We start from the raw sequence: 23,832 nt of genomic DNA, 5'->3' as shown, positions 1-23,832 counted from the left end.
AGGATGCACTGGAGATGTTCAGGTTAGAGAGCTGCGTGACCAGGTGGGGAAGCAGGTGGGGCAGTTTGGAGGATGGGTTTACCAGAGGCAGGAAGGCGGTTCCTGGGCCTCTCCAGCCAGCCCTCAGCAGTCAGCGTCCACCCTCAACTCTGCTTCAAGAATGCATTTTACATCTCGGAGCTCTCCAATGTGTCTGCCAAAGGCATGAGAGAGAATAAACCCCACTAATATTGGCATTCTTTGGGAGCAGGAAAGCCTGCCGTGGAAACCTTGCCTGCGGGTTTATCCACCTCTTACGGGAAGCGTGAGACGGCCCTGGTCACATTTGCAGGCTCCTCCCCGCCCAGGGGCTTCTGCAGGACCAGCTCTTGTTTCATGCTTCAGAGCCCCCTACTCAAATACATGCTGGGGCTTGTGCCATGGCCCAGGGCAGAAGATGCGGCAGAGGTTCTGCCTCCTGGGGGCTGCCTGCAGGAGGGCAGGCTGGGGATGACGCAGGCGCTGGTTCCTGACCCGGGGGAGGTGAAGACAAGCACTTTCCCAGTCCTTGACTTGTGCCTGTTACACCCAAGGCAGGTGGGAGTCAATTCGAGGACCCCAAAGTCTGGGACTGACACCCCGCAACTTCATTTCAGCTGGGCCCCTTGGCTGGAGCTGAGAGTCTGGTGCTGTTTACTGTGTCGGGCCGCAGGGCTATGCTGGCAGCTCCTATGAGTGCTCATCACAGGCCCCTGGTCCAGAGTCCAGGCTCCCAGAGGCCTCTCTGGCCCCTGCATGGCCCAGCCTCTCAGCAGATGCAGCCTTCCAGTGCGGTTGCCTGGCCCAGGGCATGCAGGATGGGGGCCGGAGGTGGAGGCTGTGTCACTTCTGGGTCTGTTTCTAGGGCCCTGCTAGCATCCAGGACCCCTTGGTTCAGGGGTTTCTTGGGCAGTAATTGTGCCTTGGCACACATGGGTCCTCACTAGCGTCCGGTCACATTGGTGAATCAAGCCTTTGGGGTTTGGCACCAGGTAAGTCTTGGCTCCTTACTCCAAAATTTACCAAATGTTTCCAGTATGACATCTGAGAAGCCCCATCCTCATAGTCTCTTGCCTGTTGATGACATTCCTGGGTGGATTTGCAATATATACACCATCTTTCTCTTGAGCCACCACTCCTTCTAGTCTCAAAGGTCTCCTCGTTACAACATCCTCACTCCATATCCACTTTTTTTCGGTGGGGGGGTTATGGGTAGGGGAGAACTGGGGAGCCGGGCCTCGGAGCAATTAGCAGGGGCCAACAGGATTGGGGCTTCCATCAAAGCCCTGTGGGATCCCTGAGGAGTTTGGTTACCATTAAATGGCTTTAACATTAAACGCCAGACTCATTAACAAATCTCAGAGTCAAATTGCAGAAGCCGCCAGTAGGGCAACGGGCCTGCCCATCTGTAAATTGGGAGATGGAGCCTCCCTCAGCGCAGGGAAAAATCATGGCTCAGGAATTGAAAATAATGTGGTCAGCAGTAATTTAGAAGGCTTTTCACTGAGCAAGGTTTAAAAAGAAAAAAAAAAGAAAAAAAGTAACTCATAAAAGTCTGTTTTAAAAACCTCAATGGAAGCGGCTGTGGTAAAATACTGCCATCGTTTCTATCTTAATTCAGTAAAATTTTTATTAACTTAATTTTTTCCCCTCTCTTGTTTTTTCACTCCATAAAAACATTTAAATCACTTTTTTAAACATTCCCCAATCAAGCCCTTTATCTTCACAGGGCGAATTCCACCTGCCAATTTGCAAATGGGCTTGTTTTGGTCAGCGGACCACAGGCAGCATTCCCTCCTCTGCAAAGTTTCCGTGTGTAGATGGGCAGGCCTGCTGCCAGCCCTCTCCCTGCGCTTCGGAAGAGGTGCAGTCAAAAATGGCTTTTTTAAAAGAAAAAATGGTTTGAGGGTGTGTGTGGTGGGGGAGCACAGACACCCGAAGCTGCTTTTTTTTTTTTTTTGTCCTATCTTATGGTGTTCGCAGCTTCGAACGTTTCGAGGTAGAGAAGGAGGTCCATTCCTGAGGTCCTCTCGTGCCCCTGCCTGAGACCTCAGAGGGTCAGATTTGTGCCTGCCGTGCTCTCACCTTGCTTGGGGGCCCTTCTACTGTCCCCTGCCCTGCTCCTGTCTCTTCTGTATCCTCTGCCACTGTGGCCCAGCACCCTGGGTCAGGCACTGACCTGAGAGCACCTTCCTGCATCCTGCCGTGGGCTGGGTTGGATTTCCTTGCTGGGGTGGAGGTGGGAGGCTCTGCATTGGAGAGCCAGGCTCCCAGCTAGGGCTGGCTGCCTCTTCCCTAGCCCACCTGAAACCATCACACTCCCTTAAGGAGTAAAACGTGGACCTGTTTGAGGGAGGTGGTATGTCTCATTCCTTGCGTATCCTTTGCGTGGAACAAAGATGCTGTCTGTGTATCAAGTTCACCACTGTTAGCCCCTGTCTGTGAAAGGGATTCGGTATTACAAGACACTAAGACAGGGCACCATTTTCAAGATGCCAAACTAAAGCCCCAGTGTGGCACATTAAGGCTTTGTCCAAGGAACCATCTTTCCATTTCCAGCTGGTGAAGGACTTCCCCCTGAGGACCAAGGTGTGCGGAACCGTGGTCACGCCACCACCACTTGCTAATATGACGGCAGCCAGACATGTATTTCCCAACATGTGAAGAGGTCAGGAGCTCCTAACCTGTGGCCCATTAACTTGGGGCAGGGGAAAGTTACATCTTGATTTTTACCAACCTCTAACTGCACGGTGGCACTGGAGGGTAGGCCATGAGCCACAGCCATAGCAGCAGGGCGTGTGGCTTTGTCGTTTGTAGAAATTGTGGATTTTTTCAAGTCACAATACGGTTGCTGCAGACATCTCGGAATGTTGTTTGTGCTGGTGTGCCCTTCGAAGCCATGGAAGTGAGAAGACCTGCTGCTGCCTTTATTGCATGTGCTGGAAAAGCAGGACAGTTTCCATATGATACACTTGTTTTTTTAAAATTTTAATTTTAAATTTATTTATTTATCTATTTTGAGACTGAGTCTCATTCTGTCACACAGGCTGGAGTGCAGAGAGGCACAATCTTGGCTCACTGCAACCTCCATCTCTTGGGTTCAAGCGATTCTCCTGCCTCAGACTCCCAAGTAGCTGGGATTACAGGCATGCACCACCACGCCCAGCTAATTTTTGTATTTCTAGTGGAGACGGGGTTTTGCCATGTTGGTTGGCCAGACTGGTCTCGAACTCCTGACCTCAAGTGATTCACCTGCCTCGGCCTCCCAAAGTGTTGGGATTACAGGGTGTGAGCCACCACGCCTGGCTATTTATTTATTTATTTATTTATTTTTGAGATAGAGTCTCACTCTGTTGCCCAGGCTGGAGTGCAGTGGCACCATCTTTGCTCACTGCAACCTCCACCTCCTGGGTTCAAGTGATTCTTCTGCTTTAGCTTCCCGAGTAGCTGGGATTACAGGCACATGCCACCACACCTGGCTAATTTTTGTATTTTTAGTAGAGATGGGGTTTCCCCATGTTGGCCAGGCTGGTCTCAAACTCCTGGCCTCATGTGATCCACCCACCTCAGCCTCCCAAAGTGCTGGGATTACTGCGCCCAGCCCACTTTTTTTTTTTTTTTTTTTTTTTAAGAATATTTGGTTAACTGATTTCAGTGTAATTTGCTTCCTTTGTAATCCTATATATTTTGTGTTTTGCACTGATAAGTGTTATTCTGAGAAGGGGTCCATAGAATTTAAAAATTTCCCATAAAGTCTACATTGCAGAAAGGGCTCAGAGCCCCTGCCCTGGTTATCTTCTTTTCCTGTCCACTGAATGAGAAATGCAAATCTGAGCCCTGAAATCAGAAGCATCCAGATGATTCCAGATGATTCCATGTGGATGTGATGCATGGAGGACATGGTCACTGAAATGAACACCAATTTTAAAAACCTCATGGAGAAATCGTGGGTGGCCCACCCACCCAAGAATATGGCCCCCAGGCCATCGGCTCTCAGCTAACTGGACAGGCCCACTTGGGCTTCCTTAGCTTTGTTTACATTGTTCACTGCCCTCCCCGCATCCCTAACCACTCCCTACCTATTCCAATGTTTCATGTTTCTCAAAGCTCTTCTGGGCCTCACCTCCTCCAGGAAGCCTGCCTGGATCTATAGAGGTCATGACAACACATTCTCACTGCTCAGGCCCAGGCTTGCCTCGTGCCATGATGCCAAGGGCCCCAATCCCTTGAACAGGGCTCCCTGGACATCATTTTTTGGTTCTAAGCCACGTGGTTTCCCTGAGGTGCTGGGAGTCCTCTCCAAGGCTGGGGAACCCGGGAGGAAGGGGATGTGCTTGGGTTTTCTGCAGCTACCCTTTGGCTGGTGCACAAACACCACGGTGATCCCTGTGGAAAATGATTGCTCGTGGTCAGGGTGTGCAGAGCCCAGGTGATCCCAAGCTGCCAGCGGCCATTTCCTTCCTAACAGTGGGAGTGGGCTGAGGCCGGTGACCCTGCAGGCTGTGACCTTGAGGATGGCATTCGTGATAGGCGCTTTGGTCTTTTTCCCTGTCCCTCTTGCCGCGAGGGCTCCCCGGCCAGGTGGGTGCCCATGTATCCAGGGAAAGAGCTGGTCACACTGGCATCATCAGGAAGGTCTGATGGAGACAAGCAGAGTCACTTTGATCCCAGAGCCCGGAAGTCCAGCTGCCTCCTCACTTTCCATTCCCTCCTGGGACGGTGGGCAGAGATTTCACAACTTCCCTCCTGCCCAGATGTCCAAATATTTCTCTTATCAAAATGTATATTTTCAGCAAATTGTACAGTCAAAGAGGAAAATCCCACAGAAACAGAAGAAGAAAAAAGGCTGTGTTTTCACTTTAGAAAACAATCTCTTGAAAAAAGAAATCTTCCTGGCCATGGAGGCCAGAATATGGTTCTGCTGGGCTCATGTGTGATCTCAGACTCAGATGAATCCACTGATTTAACAGGCAATTTCCCTTAAATGACTCTGAACCTCACTTACCTCACCCAAATTATTCTTTGGATAATTTGGGGCCTGTTTGGGGTTGATGGACTCTGGATTCTCAGGACAAAGTTCTCAGCACAGTCTACTAGGGGAAGCAAGAACTTCGGAGGGAAGCAGACTCTAGTTTGAATTTTGGAACTTCTAACAGATACCTGTATATCTTCAGATCCCAGTATTTTTACTTGTAAGATGAGCAGCATGTCATCTGCCCATGTTAATTTCCTGTCCTTACTTAAACAAAGTACATAGTGTTTTGGAGGGCTGGCTGGGTATGGAATTGCAAATGAAACCAATGTCATACTTACAAGTGGGCCAGGACTTCTTCCCCTTCCCCTCACATTCAAGGAACTGAGGCAAGAATGAGAATCATTCCCAAACACTCTCACCTCTGCCTAAAGTTTGCTCCTGAATTTAAAATCCAGGCAATTGCCTTGGTTTCCTGCTTCTCAGTTAAGACATACTCAGCATTGCAGTTTGTCTATTACCCAGAAGATGTTTATTGATTTGAAATGGCAGGTGTTTGGAGGTTAACCAAATGACACAGGTTGACTTGGCTTTCCCCTCTTCCCTTCCTTGTTCCCCCTCTCCCTCAGTCCTGTTCACTCATTCTCACTTCCCAACCAAGTACTTGCAGTTAAGTCTTTGTTTCAGGATTTGCTAAGAACATTGGGCTAAGATAGTTGGAAAAAAGAAATAACCTCTGAAAGCAGAGCCCCAGGATGGGATTTTGGTATTGGATCACTCACTAGTCAAACATCAATGAGGGCCCCGTTCCTGGTAGTGGTGATGATTATGGCACACATTGCCAAGGCTCTCACCTGTGGTTGCCTGGGATGAGGTGCACATGGAAAATGAGGCATTGGGCTGTGCAGGGCTGTGGCACTTGAATAGCATGGAGTGTGCTTCCTTTAGTTAAATGGCCCTGGGAGCCTTGAAAAAAGAAAGTGATAGGTTTAGATTAGCCATCTGTCAGTTCATGTCAAGCTGTGGAATCCAGAGGGTCTCTGGCAGCATTTATAGATTTTCATTTTCTGTAAGGCAGACTGTACTGAAAATCAGGCTCAGGATCTGATTGTAAGAGTGGCAGAGCAGCAAAGAAGACTGAATGCACAGACCTGCTTTGTCCAAATTAGGGTCCTGGTAGGAAAAGAGTGGGACTTTGAGATCCAAGATGGTAACATTTAGGTGGATGAACCTGAAAATCCTGTACATCCAGATTCTTTTGAGTCCTCTACATCAGCAGATATCCTTATCCCTTCGATGAGAAATGCCCCCTTTGCCTAGAGCTTCCTCCAATTCACAAAGTCTCACTTGAAGCAGGTATGTAACATGACATTAGCCATTTTCAGTATGTGTTCCCACCTCAGTACATCCAAGCCGATAAGGCTAATAGCTAGGGTCAGCCCTGAGCATGGCCCATGTGAGGAAATGTATTTCCTGCTCTAAGAGGAAAGAGCTCACTAGTGAAGAAATCAGGAGCTAATGAATATGTACCAATGGGAACCAGGGACGTATACATAGTAGTAGGTTTCAGTTTACAAACCCAGACTCCATTAATTAATTAATTAATTAACTAATTAACTAAAAGGGAAGTTGAGTATCCTTGAGGGAGGATCCTGTGATACCACTGCCAGTTTATGCAGCAATTATTTCCCTGATGCTTTCCTGAGGTGACATGTGGCTATCTACCGGAGTAACTGTGCACTGAAGAGAGAGGATTACTTACACTTTCAGGGATTGTTGGATATAGGGCCTGATATCAGGCAATCTGAAACTCCTGATTATCCCCTGGTTATACTGGCAGCGGACGGTGGGGGGCCTTCCTAAGAAGACCAGGTGATAAATGGAGTTCCTGCCCAAGGTCATCACACAGTGGAGCCATTGGATCCAAGGACTCATCTCATAGTCATTTCCCCTCTCCCTTATTGTAGTAATTGGAGTAGCCAGACTTCAGAATTGGCAGGACTTTTGCTTTGATTCTCTGACTTGTGGGAAAAGAGCCATGAAGTGGGAAGAACCAAGTGGAAGCCCCTGAAACTGTCACCTCCTGGCTAAGATGGTAAAATCAGAAGCAATACTATAAACCAGGGGGAACTGCAGGGATTTAGGACCATCACAAAAAACCTAAAGTATGTAGTGATGCTGCGCTGTGGCATTGTCATCCAATTCACCTCTCTGGCCCCTGCCAAAACAGACAGATCATGGTGCATGATGGTATGGTAAATTTTACCATGTAAACTTAACCTCGTTGCTGCTGCTGTGCCAGATGTGGTGAATTTACTGGAGCAGATTGACACAATCTCTGATATTTGGCATGTGACTATTTACCCACTTATTTACCAGTTCAGATAGTCTTCATTCATTTGTGTGGGTTCTTATTTCCATTGGTATAATATCCGTTCAAACTAAAGAACACCCTGGCAGTACAGATCCGCTGGTGGGAAATGCTTTCAGGTTTTATGGGTCTAAAGAGACCTTTATTTCATCCTTTCCTCCACTCTTGTTTTTGAAGGGTATTGTCACTGGATATAGAATTCTGAGTTGAAAAATTTTTTCAACACATTAAGTCTCTCTTGGCACTTTCTTCTGATTTTATTGTTTCTGATGAGGCATCAGTACGATTTGTATCTTTGTTTCCCTCCTTGTAATGTACATTTTTTTCCCCTGAATGTTTTCAAGATTTTCTCTTTATCTTTGGTTTTCAGCAGTTTTACTATGGTGTGCCTAGGTGTGGTTTTTCTTGGCAATTGTTCTGTTTAGGGTTCACTGATTTACTTGGATCTGTAAGTTGATGATTCCCATCAACTTTTGGAAAAGTTTTGCCTTATTTCTTCAGACTTTTTTCTGCCTTGTTATCACCCTCTTTCCTTCTAGGACTATAATTACACATTGCTAGGCCATTTGATTTTATTCCATAGTTATCTCAGGATCTGTTACTTTCTTTACATTTTTTTTATCTCTGTTATTTAGATTGCATAGTTTCCACTGATTTGTCTTTAGATCATTTATTCTGTCATTTCTAATCTTCTTTTAAGTCAATCCAGCTACTTTTTCATTTGCTTTGTGTTTTTGAGTTGTAGAATTTCCATTTGGTTCCTTCTCTAAGTTTTAATTTCTCTGCTGAAATTCCCTATCCATTCAGTCATTAACACCATATTTTTCTTTAAACCCTTAACATATTTATTATAATAACAGTTTTAAAGTCTATGTCTGCTAAGTGCAACATCTGGGACATCTCAGTGTCATTTCCAATTGATGCCTTTTTTTCTGAGTATGGCTCACGTTTTCCTGTTGCTTGGATGTCTAGAATTTGTTTTTATTATATTCTGGACATTGCCGATAACAGACCCTAGAAATCTAGGATTCTGCTATTTGCTTCTGAGTACCGTTGATTTCTATTCTAGCAGGCAGTTTGATTCTGACAGATAACTTGAATTTGCATAGACTAGGATCTAGTGTTTCCCAAGCCCCACTAAGTTGATTTAACTCATCCTCCAAGTTTTGCCTTCCAGCTATATGTGGTACTCTTGTTGAGGCTTAGTTTTAGGTTTAGTTAGAGAGTATAGAGTAGACCTTATTCTAGATTATGGTCCTTACTCCTGAGGCATGATTTTTCTGATGTCTCTTATGTCTGGGATATAAATGAAACCACTCCCCTCTGGCTGAGCTGGAGTTCCAATATGTCTCAGCATCATTCTCCCTCTCAACTGCATAGCAACTGATCTCTGGTAATTCTTCAATCTTTCCCTGTATATACACAGCTCCACCTTTGTCCGAGGACTGTGGGTGACCCCCACACAAACTTTTGAGGTACCCATGCTTGGAAGAGCTTCCCCTGTTTCTGGTGCCCTGACCCATAGATCCAGCTATTTGGCAGCCTCTTCAGCTGGGTAAAATTGCTATGCTCTCGCTAAGCCCCCTGGACCACAGTTAGGACATTTTCCTTAGGGAGAGAGGCAGGGCAATCCATGGGCTCACATCAGGAGTTTCCCTTCTCTTAGAGATCACAGTCTTTGCTGCCTGTAGCCAATGCCTGAGCACAGTTGCTTCATATCCCTCCCCCGTTCCCCAGTTTTAGAGTTGTTTGTGGCAGGAAAGTTACTTTTGGCCAGAATTGGAAGTTGGAAGGTGTGCAGCTATTGCTATAGCAAATGTGTTCTCCATCCTGATCAGTAAAGAGGATAAAAAGCAATTTATCATTAGATAGGAAGGATATTCACAATCTCACTCCAGATCTATGTTATAATAACTCCTGTTCTCCAAAGAATATACTTCACAGGTACCATAATCATCTTGATATTCTACAGATCATGCTGGTCTGCCCAACCTTTCAAAGGCAGACACTAGACTGGGTGTGGTGGCTCATGCCTGTAATCCCAGCACTTTGGGAGGCCAAGGTAGGCAGATCACTTGAGCCCAGGAGTTTGAGACCAGCTTGAGTAACATAGTGAAATCCCATCTCTATGAAAAATGAAAAATTAGCCAGGTGTAGTGTCGTGTACCTGTGGTCTCAGCTACTGGGGAGGCTGAGGTGGGAGGATCACTTGAGCCCAGGAGGTTGAGGCTGCAGTGAGCCGTGATTGTGCCACTGCCTTCCAGTCTGGGCAACTGAGCAAGACCCTGTCTCGAACAAACAAACAAACAAACACACACACACACACACACACACACACACACACAAAAGCAGACAGTAATGACAAACCTTCAATAAGGCCTCATTCCTTGAGGGCTCTGACCAACCACTTAGTGGTAAGTTGATTATATTGGTCCCCTTCTAGTCTAAAGGAGATAACACTTGTCTTTTTAGGAATTGGCATTACTCTAGATATGTATTTGCCTTCTGCGTTCACAGTGCTCTGCCCACATCAATCAAAGGGCTGACAGAATCTGTCTCCAAGGAATTGGCAGATGCCTTGAAGCAAGGACACATTTTACAGTGAGGGAGACACTCTCTGGAGCACACACTGGTGAGATCTGTCAGGCTTACAACAGATATATTCCCATAAGCCAGAAGCATCAGTCCAAGGGAATGTGAGAGCATCTTGCTAAAGACTCTGCTAAGGTGTCAGCTCAGGGCAACACCCAGTGGCATTGGGACCCCGTCTTCCAGTGTGTGGTGAATGCACTGAGCTAATGGCCGGCACACGGGGCTGTGTCCCCAGGAATTCATGGGCAGTAGGAGTGACGCCTCTCGTGGTCACACTGCGACCCACTCGTGCACCGTACCGGAGTTTGTGGATGACTCTAGCAGAGGGTGGTTGCTGATGGATGAAGGCGGGATTAATGTTTTCCCCTCTCCAGAGGAAAGTCCAGGAAAACAGTCACACACTCCTTGGGGAATCTCTTGGTTTGAGCGACCAGTGAGGGTAGCAATAGCAAGTTCAAGTCTGTGCCTTTGTGTCGCCCCCTGTCCTTCCAGCCTTGCTCACCCCACCTCAGATCATACTTCTCCATGAAGGGCTCACACTCAAGCCTTTGTTTCAGCCTCTGCGTACTCTGCACCACTGGGCGCTGAGGCCATTTACCCGGTAATATTGATCGAGCTCTCACGATGTATGAGGTAGGATACTCGGGCTGGGGACACAACAGTGAATTAAACAGACACTTCTCCCCACCACCCCATGGACACCAAATTCTAGAGGGAGAAGCAGAGAATGCCATGTCACTGAATGAGTAATAACACAAAGGGAATAATGCCAGGTAAGAAATTGAGAGTGACCGTGGGTGGAAGGAGAGGGGAGCAGGGAAGCAGTTAGCACAGGGGGCTGGGGGGATTTGTATGGACCTCCAAGTGGGCCAAAGAGGACAGCCAAGTGGCCATATCAGGGCAGAGTGTCCTGGGCAGAGGGGACATAAGGGACCACATCAGGGAGGTGAGGGTCCCTTTCTTTCCAATCTGTTCAGCATTGAGAAATAACAAATCTTCAGCTTCCCATCAGACCCCTGAGAACTGGGCCTAGCCAGATTATACAAGAACTCCACATGCCAGTGAGCCTGTGACCTACAGACCATGCAGAGCCTTCCATCCATCTCTTACCCCGGGCACATGAGCCCAGCAAGAAAATTATATTTAAAAGATGAAGATCAAAAGGAAGGCAAAACTGTGTGCATCCGGAATCCCTTTATTAGAGACCAAATTTAGTTAAGATCCGTCTTTTCTACTTTATTATAGTACAGAAGGATAAATAAAAGATGGTGAACCCGAGCCCTCTCCTTGGCTGTTCATTAAGAAAGACCATTTTGATTTTGAGCAATCTCAGCCAGGTGTGGGAGGGACCACAGTCATCCTCAAATGATACCGTTGATGGTGGAGAAATTAACCAAAGTCCACAGGAGAGAGCACAGACACATTTTTCTTCTTGGAAATTTTTGTTTGTTTGTTTGTTTGTTTGTTTTTGAGACAGGGTCTTGCTTTGTCACCCACTGCACTCCAGCCTGGGTTTGTTTGTTTGTTTGTTTTTGAGACACAGTCTTGCTCTGTCACCCAGGTTGAAGTGCAATGGTGCTATCTTGGCTCACTGGAACCTCCACCTCCCGGGTTCAAGCGATTCTCCTGCCTCAGCTTCCTGAGTAGCTGGGATTACAGGCGCCTGCCACCACACCTGGCTAATTTTTGTATTTTTAGTAGAGACAGGGTTTCCCCATGTTGGTCAGGCTGGTCTCGAACTCCTGACCTCAAGTGACCCACCCACCTCGGCCTCCCGAAGTGCTGGGATTACAGGCATGAGCCACCGTGCCTGGCCACTTCTTGGAAATTGAGTTGCTAAGGAATCTCTTCAGATCTCATGTCTGTTGTCTTGGGGCATTTACGTATAAGTGGCCCGTAGCTGTCAAAGGGCTTTAAAGGGTTTGAAAGCAGGTGTAGTGGACAGAGGCACATCTCAGAAATCCCCATTGCTGGCAGGGACAAAGTTCAGATAATGCCCACAGCATGTTATTGCAGAAAAAGAAAGCCTCTGGCAGGATTCTGTAATAACACTCTGTATCTGTGGTCTGTTTTCATCCGAGGATCTCAAAACATTTTCAAGCATTAATTAAACTTCACAACGATCCAAGGCCGTGGGTATAATTAGACCCATTTCTTAGCTGGGTCATTTGAGGCCCATTAAGATGAACCGATTTGCTTAGAGCCTTGGAACCCGACTTTCCTGTTTTGAACCTCAGCTTGCCAAATGTCTCCAAATCAGAGAGGAACATGCACATTTAAGCAAATCTACTCAGAAACCAGTTACTTAACGAATTCTTGGACAAACCCTCAATGGGTCTCCGTGACCACTGTGTTATCATGTTCTTTCATCACAACCAATTAACCAAGGTATTTTTTACATGCCTTTATGAAAAGTCACTGTATGGAAATATTGAAAGGCAGGAGGTTGGTCTCAAGAAGCAGTGAAAAGTGCCCCTTTCTCATGGCCTGAAACTGACTCCCTCCTGGGCGTAAAGGAGACTCCGGTGTGCTGTTGGTTTCCCATCATTTTGCCAGAAGGCTATAAGATGTCTTTTCATCTTAAGTTACATAAGTATCCAACAAATAAGAAGTCTGTTATTACAACAGCAACCATACTGGAGGGAAAAAGGGTTGATTTATTCCGAATATCTGCACTTAACAGTTTTGATGTCTTTTAAGAGACTTCCGAGTTTTAGGAGGGAGAAAAAAAATGCACAAACATTCTTTTAAAAATGCAACCTGGCTGTGGCTAATGTTGTCTGGCCAGAAAGCTATTGTTCATAAGCCCAGGGCCGCGCAGTTATCATTCATCCTGGGATGCATCGACTTGCCTTCTTCCTGCCGACAAGCTGCTTATGCAAAGCAGCCCCCAGTATTCGTATGGAGGGTGGGGGTAGGGAGACTCTCATGCGTTTACTTTGAAAAGTCTCCTCCTGACAATCAAAAACATTCTCAGGAAACATGCCTTGCTGTGGATGATCCCCACACCCCCTGCCCTCCTGTCTTCAGAAAAACAAATGAGTGGTTTTTCTACAGAAAGGTGTAGAGGTAACTGAGGGAAGCCTGTGATGGGAGAGGAAATTCCCCGTTTTTCATGTCCCCCTTATAACCGAGGGCCTCCTTCTCCGAGGTGCTCTACTGAGCTTCATCCTTCCACATTCTTTCCCCTTGACTGACTCTCAAAGGATCCATTTCAACGCGGAAGAAAAAACTCCAGCATCTTGGATGATGGTCGCTGATTCTGACACTCAGATATGTTGTCGGTTAAACAGATAGCTTTGGCTCAGTGATATCGGACAATTGACCTCTTGGTGCACAGACTCCCAGCAGCCTCGCTCCCAAAGGGGGTCTTAGGGGAAGCCAGGTCCACAGATCAGGAGCCCCTAGGGGACCTGAGATGGGTCTAGGGTTTCAGTTTCATCTGTGATCTTTTCGGTGAGGTGTGTTCAGTCAGCGACTTCCTAGGAGGAAGCCTTCAGCTGCATGGAAAGAAATTTAAGTTCCTATTCTCTGTCCCCAGAGTCATTTAAATGGGGCCAGTGTCGGAGACCGGAGCGTGATCCTGCGCTGTGCCCGTGTGCGATACCATCTCAGTTGCCACTGAGCTCGGCCTGCTGGGGAGGAGGAAGGTGGCCTGCCCCAGGGAGTCAAGAAATTCAATCCAAGTCCATTTTTAACTCGATGAACATTGATTGACAATTTAGTAGGTCTTACGTGGAATGCAAGGAGGAATACATTAAAAGACAGAGTCTCTGCTGAAGGTAGGAATGTACATAACTAGCATAATGCAAGTGGGGATGTGGTATGTATATTAAGAGGGGCACGAGAATGTGCTGCAGAAATGATTCTATCTTGGAGAAGTGGGGAGGCACTGCAGGTGGATGACAGCTGGATCCTGAAGGGCAAATGCAGTGTCAGTGAATGTAGTAGTGTCTTGATCTGCTGGGGCTGCCATGATGAGCTATTGCAGATGGGGAGGCTTAAACAACAGAAATTGATCCTCTCACCATCCTGGGGCTGGAAGTCCCAGATTAAGGTGTCACAGGGCTGGTTGCTCCTGAGTCTTCTCTCTATGGTTTATAGTTGACTGCTTTCTCCCTGTGTCCTCCAGGGTGGTCTTTCTGTGCGTGTCTGTGTCCTCCTCTCCTCTTACAGGGACATCGATCAGATGGGATTAAGGCCCACCCATGTGATCTCACTGGACTTAAATTACCTCTTCGAAGTCCCTGTTCCCAAAAACAGTGTCACATCCTGAGATATGGGGGGTTAGGACATCAACACATAAATATTTGAGGGACATAATTCAACCCGTGCTAAGGGAGAAAGAGGCCTTTCCATGGAGGGGACAGAGTCAGCAAAGCCAGAAGGATATGAAAGGGCAGGGTCTCTGGCCAGGCTTCTCAGATGCAGAGCCTGAGACAAGGGTTTGGGTCCATGGGATTGATTGACAGAGGGCTTTCAAGAGAAAGAAAGTGAGAGAGGCTAGATGGGGCAGGGGAGGCTCAGCACAGTGGTGGTTTCAGCCCCACAGGGGGCTCTGGAGTGTGACCTGCATCACAGAGTCAGTCCCACAGTGAGGCATGGGGGCCCTTAGACCCCCAGGGTCAGTCAGTCAGTCACTGACTATGGCCCTACCAGGCAGGGTGGTTCTGGTGGGATGTTCCAGGCCAGGTGGCTTTCATGCAGTCAATGTCAATTCTTGGCTCAGGACATGGCTGTCAGTCCTCAGCAGCTTTCATCAGAGACTAGGGGATGCTCCCAGAAGCCAGGCCAACACAGGGGACCTGGATGGTGAGCTTGGGGATGAGAAAGCGGCTGCTCTGCTGTGTTGACCACAGGGCTCTGAAGTGGATGCTGGAAAAGTAGTCGGTCTGGAGAGACTTGAAGGCCAAGCCAGGAATCTGGACTTTGACTGTAGGAGGGGAGTTTCCATCTGAGCTGTGCGGCCGGTCCTGCATACTGCACCCTCTTGTAAACATGTGGATTCACCCCAGGCTCAGCTGGGCCCAGGAAGCTGCAGGTTCCCACCTTCAGGTTTCTCCTGGCCAGGCTGGCCCTCAAAGCTGGGCGTGAAGCAGCTGTTGTCTCCCATGGCCTCTGCTCTCGGCCTCCTCTCTGCCACCGTGGTCTTGCACATGTAGGGACCTCATCAAGGGTTTAACAGGAAACTCATGGGGCCCAGCGCCTGCATCTGGAGAGCCACCTCCCTTCTACTCTTTGGGCTTTTATGAAAAAGAGTCCATTTAAATCTGATGAATAAGTCAAAATGAATTGAATAAATAAACGAATATGTGCATCTCTGCAGAGGATGTGGCTGCCTGGTGGAGAGGCCAGCGGGCCTGCCAAAGAACAAAGGCAGGCGAGGACTGGCCACAGTCCTGGGGCCTGGTGGGGGTATGGAGCCCAGGGGTTATCGAGAGCCAAGGAGGAGTGGAAATATGGTTGGCTTTGCTTCCTTCCCTGTTCATCAGTGGTGGTCCTATTAACACTTGCCCTGTCAGCTCCATCCACGGTTGCTTTGAGTGAAGGCCTCCCAGTGTCATTACCGTCATCACCGCATGTTGGAAAATGATAATGTGTTTGAATTTCCTGAGTACACATGAATTTCCGAGGTCTGAATGTGGCACTGGGTCCCAGGCGAGAAGGGGTTTACACAGGGAGAGTTCTGTTGGGACGCACACGCTCCCATGTGGGTGCCGCTCCGCAGGCCACTGTCCCTCCCAAGAGGCGCAGATATGGGGTCTGGAGCTGCCCGTTGCCAGCAGTTCTTCCTGCTGTGGGTGCTGGCCTTGGTCAGTGCCCACGGAAGGTCTCTTCTCTGGACCCTAAGTGGCCAGTTGGCTAAGGAAGGAAACTAGTATTAACTCATCACTCTACTGAATCCATCTAAGCTCCAGGGATGGAGACATGGGGGTGGAGGGTGGTGCTGACTCAAGTGAAATCTTGCCCCAGCTTTGATTCTGCTTGGACGATGGAGGAGGATCCCAGGAAAGTCTCCTCACCCCTACCCCTAGGGTGGCTTAGGAATGCACTGACATTTTGGTTTCCTCCTTCCAAAAATAATAATTTGCACATAACAGACAATTTCTTTCAAAAACAGAGACCCATGTTATAAAAAGGGCAACACCCTGCTAGAGATAGACCACCTCATGGTGGAAACAAATAGCTTGTTTTATAAACTGTACTCCATTCCTTATAGAAATTGTGTTTCCTCTCCAGTGTACCCCGCAACCCTGATGCACCAGATGGACATTGATGGGGAGTGTCTGCAGATCTAACGGGAGCTCAGCTTCACGTTCGACTTGGGTGGCAGCTATGCCATGTGGAACTGTAAAGATTCTGGTACTCGATTTTTATAAAACTACGATACTTATTTTTAAAACTGACAGGCAAAGGAAGAGAGGCAGAAATGCTAATTTAACTCAAGCTGACTTTTTTTTTTTTTTTTAGCTGACTTTGAGACATGACAGAAGTCTGGAAAAGATAAAGCAACAAGTTCAAACGTATAACGCTTACTTTTACTCCGCATCAAAGCAAACCAAACATCGAGAAGACCTATATGCAGAGCTAAAATACTCAATTGATCCTTTTTTTCCCCACTGACCGGCTCCTGGGAAACATGGATGCCTCAGCCTCTTAAATAACGCTGCTAACAGCGGGCCAATTGTGCAGCAGGACGGGCACTGCCCCAGGTAGCCGATAACTTCCTGTGTTGAAACGATGACTTGGAGATTTCATCATGATATCTTTGCACACCAGGAAATATCATCTTTCAGACCTGCCATTTCTTAATCGGTGAGAATGCTATTAAAGTCGATGTCTTAATTAAGCCTAGCATTAGCCAAGGAATTACAGGCATCCGAAGGCTTAGCTGTCTGGTGGGATCCAGTTTCATGAGGCAGGATTAGGTGCACGGCTGGGAACTCCAAGGGGGAGATCCCTGGCTGCGAAGAGAACAGGAACATCTCTGGAGAAACCTGCAGGGTGTGCCTGGTGGGCAGGAACTCAGAAACTCTCTTTGCCTCTCCAGCCTCTTTAACCCATTTTATTACAATTGGTCAGTTTGTTTATGCTATAAATGAATATGTACAGCCAGGCTCCTCGGACTTCTAGGCCTTTGTTTAACTCCTCTGGCCTCTGTTTTCAATCTGAGAAATGGGTTTCATTCTCAAGTGCCCAAGTAGACTGATCACAAACAGCTCTGAAATCTAACTTTGGAGTATGGGACGTAGTACTGAGCCAGGGGGCTGAGCCCTGGGCTCTGGCCTGGCCCCACCACCCCCAAAGCATTTGCACCATGGAGTGTTAAGATTGAGAGGTAAGGGTAGGAAAGCTTTCTGGTCTTGAACTCCTGGGCTCCAGCAATTCTCCCACCTTGGCCTCCCAAAGTGCTGGGATTAAAGGAGTGAGTCACTGTGCTGGAGTGGAGTGTTGCTGTCATGGCTCACTACAGCCTCGAACTCTTGGGCTCAAGCGATCCTCCTACCTCTCAGCCTCTCAAGTAGCTGGGACTGCAGGAGTGCCACCATGCCTGGCTAATTTTTCTATTTTCAGTAGAGATGGGGTTTCACCATGTTGCCCTGGCTGGTCTTGAACTCTTGGGCTCAAGCAATCCTCCCACTGCTGCCTCCCCAAGTGCTGAGATTACAGGTGTGAACCACCATACCTGGCCAGGAAAGCTTTCTGAACACCTGAATTCATGTACCTAGGTAAATGATTATTATTAGCAAAGCAAGGAGAGCTGCCTCCATCTGCTTAGGGTGTTATAACAAAATACCACAGACTGGGTGGCTTAAACAACAGAATTTTCTCACAATTCTGGAAGCCAGACGTCCAAGACCAAGGTTCCTGTTGGGTTTAGCTCCTGGTGAGGGCTCCCTTCCTGGCTGCCAGACTGCCGCCTTCTTGCTGTGTCTTTGCATGGTGGAGGAAGAGAGGGAGTAGGCTGTCTGGTGTCTCTTGCTCTTCCTATAGGGCCACAGTCCTATCAGACTAGAGCTACACCCTAATTTGACCAGGGCCACACTTGATCAGTGGCCCTCCAGGGATGACCAACCACCTGTCCAGACCCTTCCAGGCTAGAGGCTGGGGCTGCTGAGTGGACCCTGAGCCTGACGCAAGAGTAGGCAGAGCCATGCTACTCCTGCCCACCGGGTGGCTGTCAGCACCAACTATGGGGACCCGGAACCCATGTGCCATGCATAAGGAAGTGGTTACATCCCTCTGGCCATATTTCCGGGGAACTCTGCTTCCTCTTGACAGCACAAGGACTCAGGGGCTGTGAGCACATAAGCAAGTCCTTCCTACCCCAGGTGCTCACACCATGGGGACACCTGTCCTGACGTCAGTCCCCAGTTCTCACAAAAGCTCATGGCCATTCCTTTTTTCTAAGTAAATCTCAGGCTGCATCAATTGTAACAGTGACAATGATTATAATGATAATAATAAAATTTTAAAAGGCTGGCCTGGTATTGCCAGTGTCTTGTGTCTGGCACCAACACTGTGTCTACTTGGAATCACCATAAGATGAGACAAATTCTACGCCATTTCCTCAGCTCCCAGTGCACAGAGGCCTGGAGATTTTGCTGGACTAGAGAGAGGACTTTCTCCTGAATGTTCTACACTCTGTGCCTGGAGTCCCACGGGCCAATGCACCTCCTGGCCTGGTGGGAAGGGACACGAAGCACTGGCCTCCCCTATCCTGTGGGATTGGCCCCCTTAAGTGATGCTGGAGTCCTGAGCCCTGGTACCCATGAACGGGAATGTGACCTTGTTTGGAAATAGGGTCTCTGCAGATGATTAAGATGAGGTCATTAGGACGGGCACTAATCCAACATGACTGTGGCCCTCATGAAAAGGGGAAATCACACAGAGGGGCAACCAAGGGGAGACGCAGGGAGAGGAGGCCATTGACAAGCCAAGGAGTGCGTGGGGCCCCCAGCAGCGAAGGAGAGGCGTGGCACGGGTTTCCCTCAGACAGAACCAACCCTCCTGGCACCTTCAGTATGGACCTGGGGCCTCCGGAACTGTGAGTGGATACATTTCGATTGTTAGGCCACTCGGTCTGTGGGCCTTGTTATGACATCCTGAGCAGGGGACTGCATCCTGTGGGCCAGTCATTCCCCTCCTACTTGTGGGGGCTGGTAAACCTGCAGGTTGGAGCTGCCCTTTGGAGAGAGGCGTCCCCTGGGGACAGAGGATGGGATGCTAGCCTGTCCATAGAGAGAAACCCCGGTGCTCCTGGGGTTCCCACCCCGTCGCACTGCCAGGGCTACGGGAAGGATGCTTGCTTGCCCCCTCCCATGGCAGGTACTCCATGCGCCTTTGGTTTGCAGGTGAGGGAAATTCGAACTGGAGGTGGCTTTGCTGGAGCCTGTGGTTGGGCTGAGCAGCCTACACCCCCCTCTGAGGCAGCAGCAGAAATCAGGGGTGACCAGGGGCAGGCCCGATGTCACCACCCTCTTCACATCATCACTGGCAGGGCCAACTGGGCACAGCCTGGACAGGTTCTCAGAGCCCCTCAGCTTCTTCCTGCAGGGACCCCCTAGGAAGGTAGCCAAGAGCTCAGCCACCTGACAAAGCCAGCACCCACACTTCGCCTCTCAGGGGACAGAATGCTGGGAGGGTGACTCTCGCATGGTGGCTCCTGGCTGGAGGGGTCACTGGGTGGGGTCGGCTCTGTGTCTCCACTGCCCAGCCTGCCCAACAAAGTGTCTGTTGTTTCCAGGACAGGCACACAGTAGGGTCCGTTTTGTTGCTGTTGAAGAAGAAGAAAAAGATCTCTAATAAGCCCCATTAAGACTTGAGTCAACACAGTCCCTAGAGGTCCAGGAGTGGCCAAAATGTCTGCGTGTAGCCATGTCCCTGTGTCTGGCAAGGAGAGTGTGAGGACGAGGCATGAGGTCCTGGGAGTTCTGGGGAAAGAAAGCAGTTGGGAAGGGGCCACCGTGTGCCCAGCCACGGGTCTGTGGTGATGGTGGCTGGGATGTGCCTGTCACTCCTTCACCTGACAAGTCCTGAAAGCCAAGGCGCTCGCATGGTGCTGGATGCTGAGTCCAAGGACTAGAGGGACCCTCGTGGTCCTGCAGGTGCTCCCAGTGAGGTAGAAGGGGATGCTGGGCTTCTGAGCGCAGGTGGGCGGTGTCCACCTGGGGACTCTAGGGACAGGAAGATGGTAATGGGATGGCCAAGGTGAGACACCAAGGTGGCATTTGCTGCTGCCAGAGCCCATCATCTAACAGAAGGAAGCAACTCTGTGTGTGTGTGAGCATGTGTGTGTGTGAGCATGTGTGAGCGCGTGTGTGAGCCTGTGTGAGCACGTGTGTATGTGAGTGTGTGAGCCTGTGTGTATGTGTGTGTGAGCCTGTGCATGACCATGTGTGTGAGTGTGTGTATGTGAGCGTGTGTGTGAGCATGTTTGTGTGTGTGGGCCTGTGTACATGAGTGCGTGTGTGTATGTGAGTGTGTGTGAGCGTGTGTGAGGATGTGTTATGTGAGCATGTGTGTGTGAAAGCATAAGTGTGCATGTGTGTGTCAGCATGTGTGTGAGAGCGTGTGGGTATAAGCATGTGTGCGCATAAGCATGTGTGTGCATGACAGCATGTGTGTATGTGTGTATTGTGAGCGTGTGTGAGGGCATGTGTGTGTATGTCAGTGTGTGTGAGTATGTGTGTGAGTATGTGTGTGCATGTGAGCATGTGTGTGAGCATATGTGTGCATGTGTGTGAGCATGCGAGAGTGTGTGTGTGAGAAAGCGTGTGTGTGGATGCGAGCGTGTGTGAGCGTGTGTGTACCAGAGGGCCTTCCTAGAATAAGTGACACCAACACCAACTTATGCCTTGAAGGCGGAAGAGGAAGGCAGTCTGGCCAGTGGGAGAGGGTGGGCACCCCAGGTCAAGGGCCCAGCAGGAGAAACGGCGCTGAGGCATGACCTGGTGCAGTTGTTGGTCCCGCTGCCAAAACAGGCGGATGGCTTAAACTACAGGCATTTGTCTTCTCACAGTTCTGGAGGTTGGAAGTCCAAGATCAAAGTGTTGGCAGGGTTGGTTTTCCCTGAGGCCTCTTTCTTGGCTTGTAGATGGTATCTTCTCCCTGTGTCCTCACAGGGTTGACCATCTGTGTGTGTCTGTGTCCTCATCTACTCTTCTTATAGGGACACAGTCATATGGGATTAGGGCCCATGCTGGGGACCTCATTTTAACTTAATTACTCCTAAAAGCCCTATCTCTAAAGCAGTCACATTCTGAGGCACCGGGGTTAGGACCTCTACATATGAATTCTGGGGACACAATTGGGCCCGTCACACATGGGGTGGGCTCCAAGGGAAGTTGGTGCAGTGGTCCTAGCTCTTGTGACCGCATAAGCTCCAAAGGCTTGTTGGTATTCAGACCTGAGGAATCAGAGGCCCAAGGAGGACAGGAGACACGGCTTTAGGTCCCCAGTTCTTTGTGGCAGGACTGCCTCTCACCCAGGTCTCCACTCCCAGGAGAAGACCCCTTCCACACTTGATGCCAGGCTTCTTATTACACAGACCCTACTGCCTCAAAGGCCTCAAGTGACCCCGGACTCACTCACGCCCTGCAAGCAGGGGAACTGTCAGCATCTGGCTAGGGCCATGTCAGCTGCGATGGGCTGGGGCGAGCTACAGTAAGAGTGGGGCCCGTGGAGTGGGTTCCTGGGGGAGCCCATCGTATGTCTAGCAGTTGCGGGCTTTTTGGGATGTCAACCACCTCTGCTGGGAAGGTGCTGGGCGTGGGTGGGTGGGTAAGATGCTGGCTGAGTCATCTGTGTCCCCGAAATAGGCTGTGGAATGGGGAAGCTTGAGCTGTGCACGTCTGCACCACCGAACTCTGAGTTGACCAAGGAGAGGGTGAAGCTGTGTGGGGCAGCCTTCCCTCACAGCAGAGTCCCACACACCCACCCCGACCTCTGGCACTGTGAGGCTGCTCATTTGAGCAAATTCTTCTCTCACCTGCCCTTTGAATACCAGGAGTCAACCAGCACAGCGCCCTTCTTTTTGGGCTAAGCACCCCATTCCTTCAGGCTCACTGTGTCAGCCACTTTACCTCTCTGGTGGCGTCCTCTGCACAGTCCTTAGTGTGCTCTGTTAAATGCCTGGTGGCAGGGGGTAGAATCCTACAAAAACCAGCATGAGCCAAAAGGATCCCAGTTGGCTCTTGTGACTGGAGAAGTCAAGTGGTTTCAGGGATGGCTGGATCTAGGCACTCAGGTGATGTCATTAGGCTTTGTTTTCTGTCTTGGCTCTGATTTCCTCTGAATGTTCTTTCTCTCCTTTCTCTTTGCCAGTTCACACGGGCATCTGTCACGTGGCCAGAGAAGATGGTGCGCTCCAGGCTTATGTTGTTCTCCGACCCTAGTGGAAAGAACACTCATCTGCGCCACCACCCACAGAGCAATCCCAGGGAGGACTCTGATTTGCTCTGCTTGGGTCACATGACCACCCTGAGCCAATCACTGTGTCTGCAGGAAGGAGAAAAGGAACTATGGCTGGCTGAGCCTGTCTCTGCCCACACCGAGACTGAATGTACCCAACTTAGGATCTGTTCTCCAAGGTCCCTGGAGCTGGCAGAGCTGGCCTTCAAGGCCAAAACCTCATCCTCCCTGTGCAGCCTCTTGGTGCAGCCTCCAATCAGGCCCTGGGGAGGGCAACAGCTTGGAGATGCGGCCTCTGCCTTCAGCGGTTTACACCTGGCTGGGGAGACAAAGCAACGACACAGGAAACAAAGAGTTAAAAGTTCGGCCACAGAGAAAAAGCTTAAATGAGGTGCCAATCTGCTCCCCCATGGGCTGTGGAAGGAGGGCTGGCCCAGAAAGGGGACCCCAGCAGCAAGAAGGTGGCTCCCTGGCTGTCCTCCTGTCACCCCGATGACTGGCCTACGCACGGCCAATGGGGACTGAGCAGGGGGCGTCGGGGAGGTTTTGGAGGAAGGTACCTTTGGACACCTACATGGAGGTGTTTCCCATTTTCGTATTCAACAGTCACTTACTGTGCATGGAACTGGGCCGGACCGGTGGTTCTCACCTGGCCACACAGAAGACTCACCTGGGACAGTTTTGCAAGAAGACGAAGGCCACCCACTGCCACTTTGGCGGAATCCATCTGGGTTTGTTTAAAGCTTCCAGGCGATTCTGAAATGCAGCCGCTTTTGGGAAGCACTGAGCCAGACAGACGTTGGGAGGAGGTTCTTAGACCAGGACCCGGAGACAAGAGTGTTTGCCGCCTGTCATGGTGAGCACTCAGAGGGAAGGCCTCACTGCCCCGGGGAGCTGCCAGAGCCGCTGGGCAGAGGCCCTGGTGTTGAGAGCTCATTGTCTATACCGGGGCCGGTGCGGGCACCGGGTGATCAGGAAGCAACGCGTGCGGCCCGCTAAGCCCCCGTGGGCCCTCGGAGCAGACGTGGCCTCCTCTGGCCCTCTGCGTGCAGCACAGTCCAGCTCAATAGGAAGAGAGGTGAGTTCATTCAGCCACACAGAGTGTCGTCCCCGCTCTAGAGAGTTCCAACCATGAAACAGAACGGAATTCAGGGAGCAGGAGATTGCATTCACTTACAATTTTCAGAACGTGATTCAAAGCGAAAATGGGCTTGAATAGGTCTATAAAAAGAACACCAAAGTCCCCTTAGACAGACGAAAGCATTTTGATGATTTTAGTATAAATGAATCTGGAACATAAGGATTAAATTTTTCTCACAATACTTGAGAATCCAAGATGGTGCAGAGAACAGGACTGTGAAGAATCTGACAGCTTTCCGAGACTTTTTCGACGGGAAAGACGTAGCTGAGTAAAGCTCCCAGAGAACGGGTCTCCTTTCGTTTTCCTTCTGAGAAAGGATTTTCC

At 49.4% G+C, this 23,832-nt stretch overlaps 4 annotated features.

The window, feature by feature from the left end:
* Nucleotides 312-1,170: an enhancer, noted in NCBI's record as "H3K4me1 hESC enhancer chr11:69430076-69430934 (GRCh37/hg19 assembly coordinates)". NCBI's record gives its function as "activates a minimal SCP1, AML or CMV promoter by ChIP-STARR-seq in primed H9 embryonic stem cells {active_cell/tissue: H9 hESC(primed)}" and the evidence as "EXISTENCE:reporter gene assay evidence [ECO:0000049][PMID:30033119]".
* Nucleotides 14,595-15,095: an enhancer, noted in NCBI's record as "H3K4me1 hESC enhancer chr11:69416151-69416651 (GRCh37/hg19 assembly coordinates)". NCBI's record gives its function as "activates a minimal SCP1, AML or CMV promoter by ChIP-STARR-seq in naive and primed H9 embryonic stem cells {active_cell/tissue: H9 hESC(naive and primed)}" and the evidence as "EXISTENCE:reporter gene assay evidence [ECO:0000049][PMID:30033119]".
* Nucleotides 15,096-15,596: an enhancer, noted in NCBI's record as "H3K4me1 hESC enhancer chr11:69415650-69416150 (GRCh37/hg19 assembly coordinates)". NCBI's record gives its function as "activates a minimal SCP1, AML or CMV promoter by ChIP-STARR-seq in naive H9 embryonic stem cells {active_cell/tissue: H9 hESC(naive)}" and the evidence as "EXISTENCE:reporter gene assay evidence [ECO:0000049][PMID:30033119]".
* Nucleotides 22,261-23,460: an enhancer, noted in NCBI's record as "CDK7 strongly-dependent group 2 enhancer chr11:69407786-69408985 (GRCh37/hg19 assembly coordinates)". NCBI's record gives its function as "activates an origin of replication core promoter dependent on BRD2, BRD4, P300/CBP, MED14 and CDK7 cofactors, with strong dependence on CDK7, by STARR-seq in HCT116 cells {active_cell/tissue: HCT116}" and the evidence as "EXISTENCE:reporter gene assay evidence [ECO:0000049][PMID:35650434]".

Source organism: Homo sapiens, chromosome 11 (genome assembly GCF_000001405.40).
Source record: "Homo sapiens chromosome 11, GRCh38.p14 Primary Assembly".
Classification (NCBI taxonomy): Eukaryota; Metazoa; Chordata; class Mammalia; order Primates; family Hominidae; genus Homo; species Homo sapiens.
The sequence above is the reverse complement of the archived record's forward strand: the minus strand, read 5'-3'. Positions and strand labels throughout refer to the sequence as shown.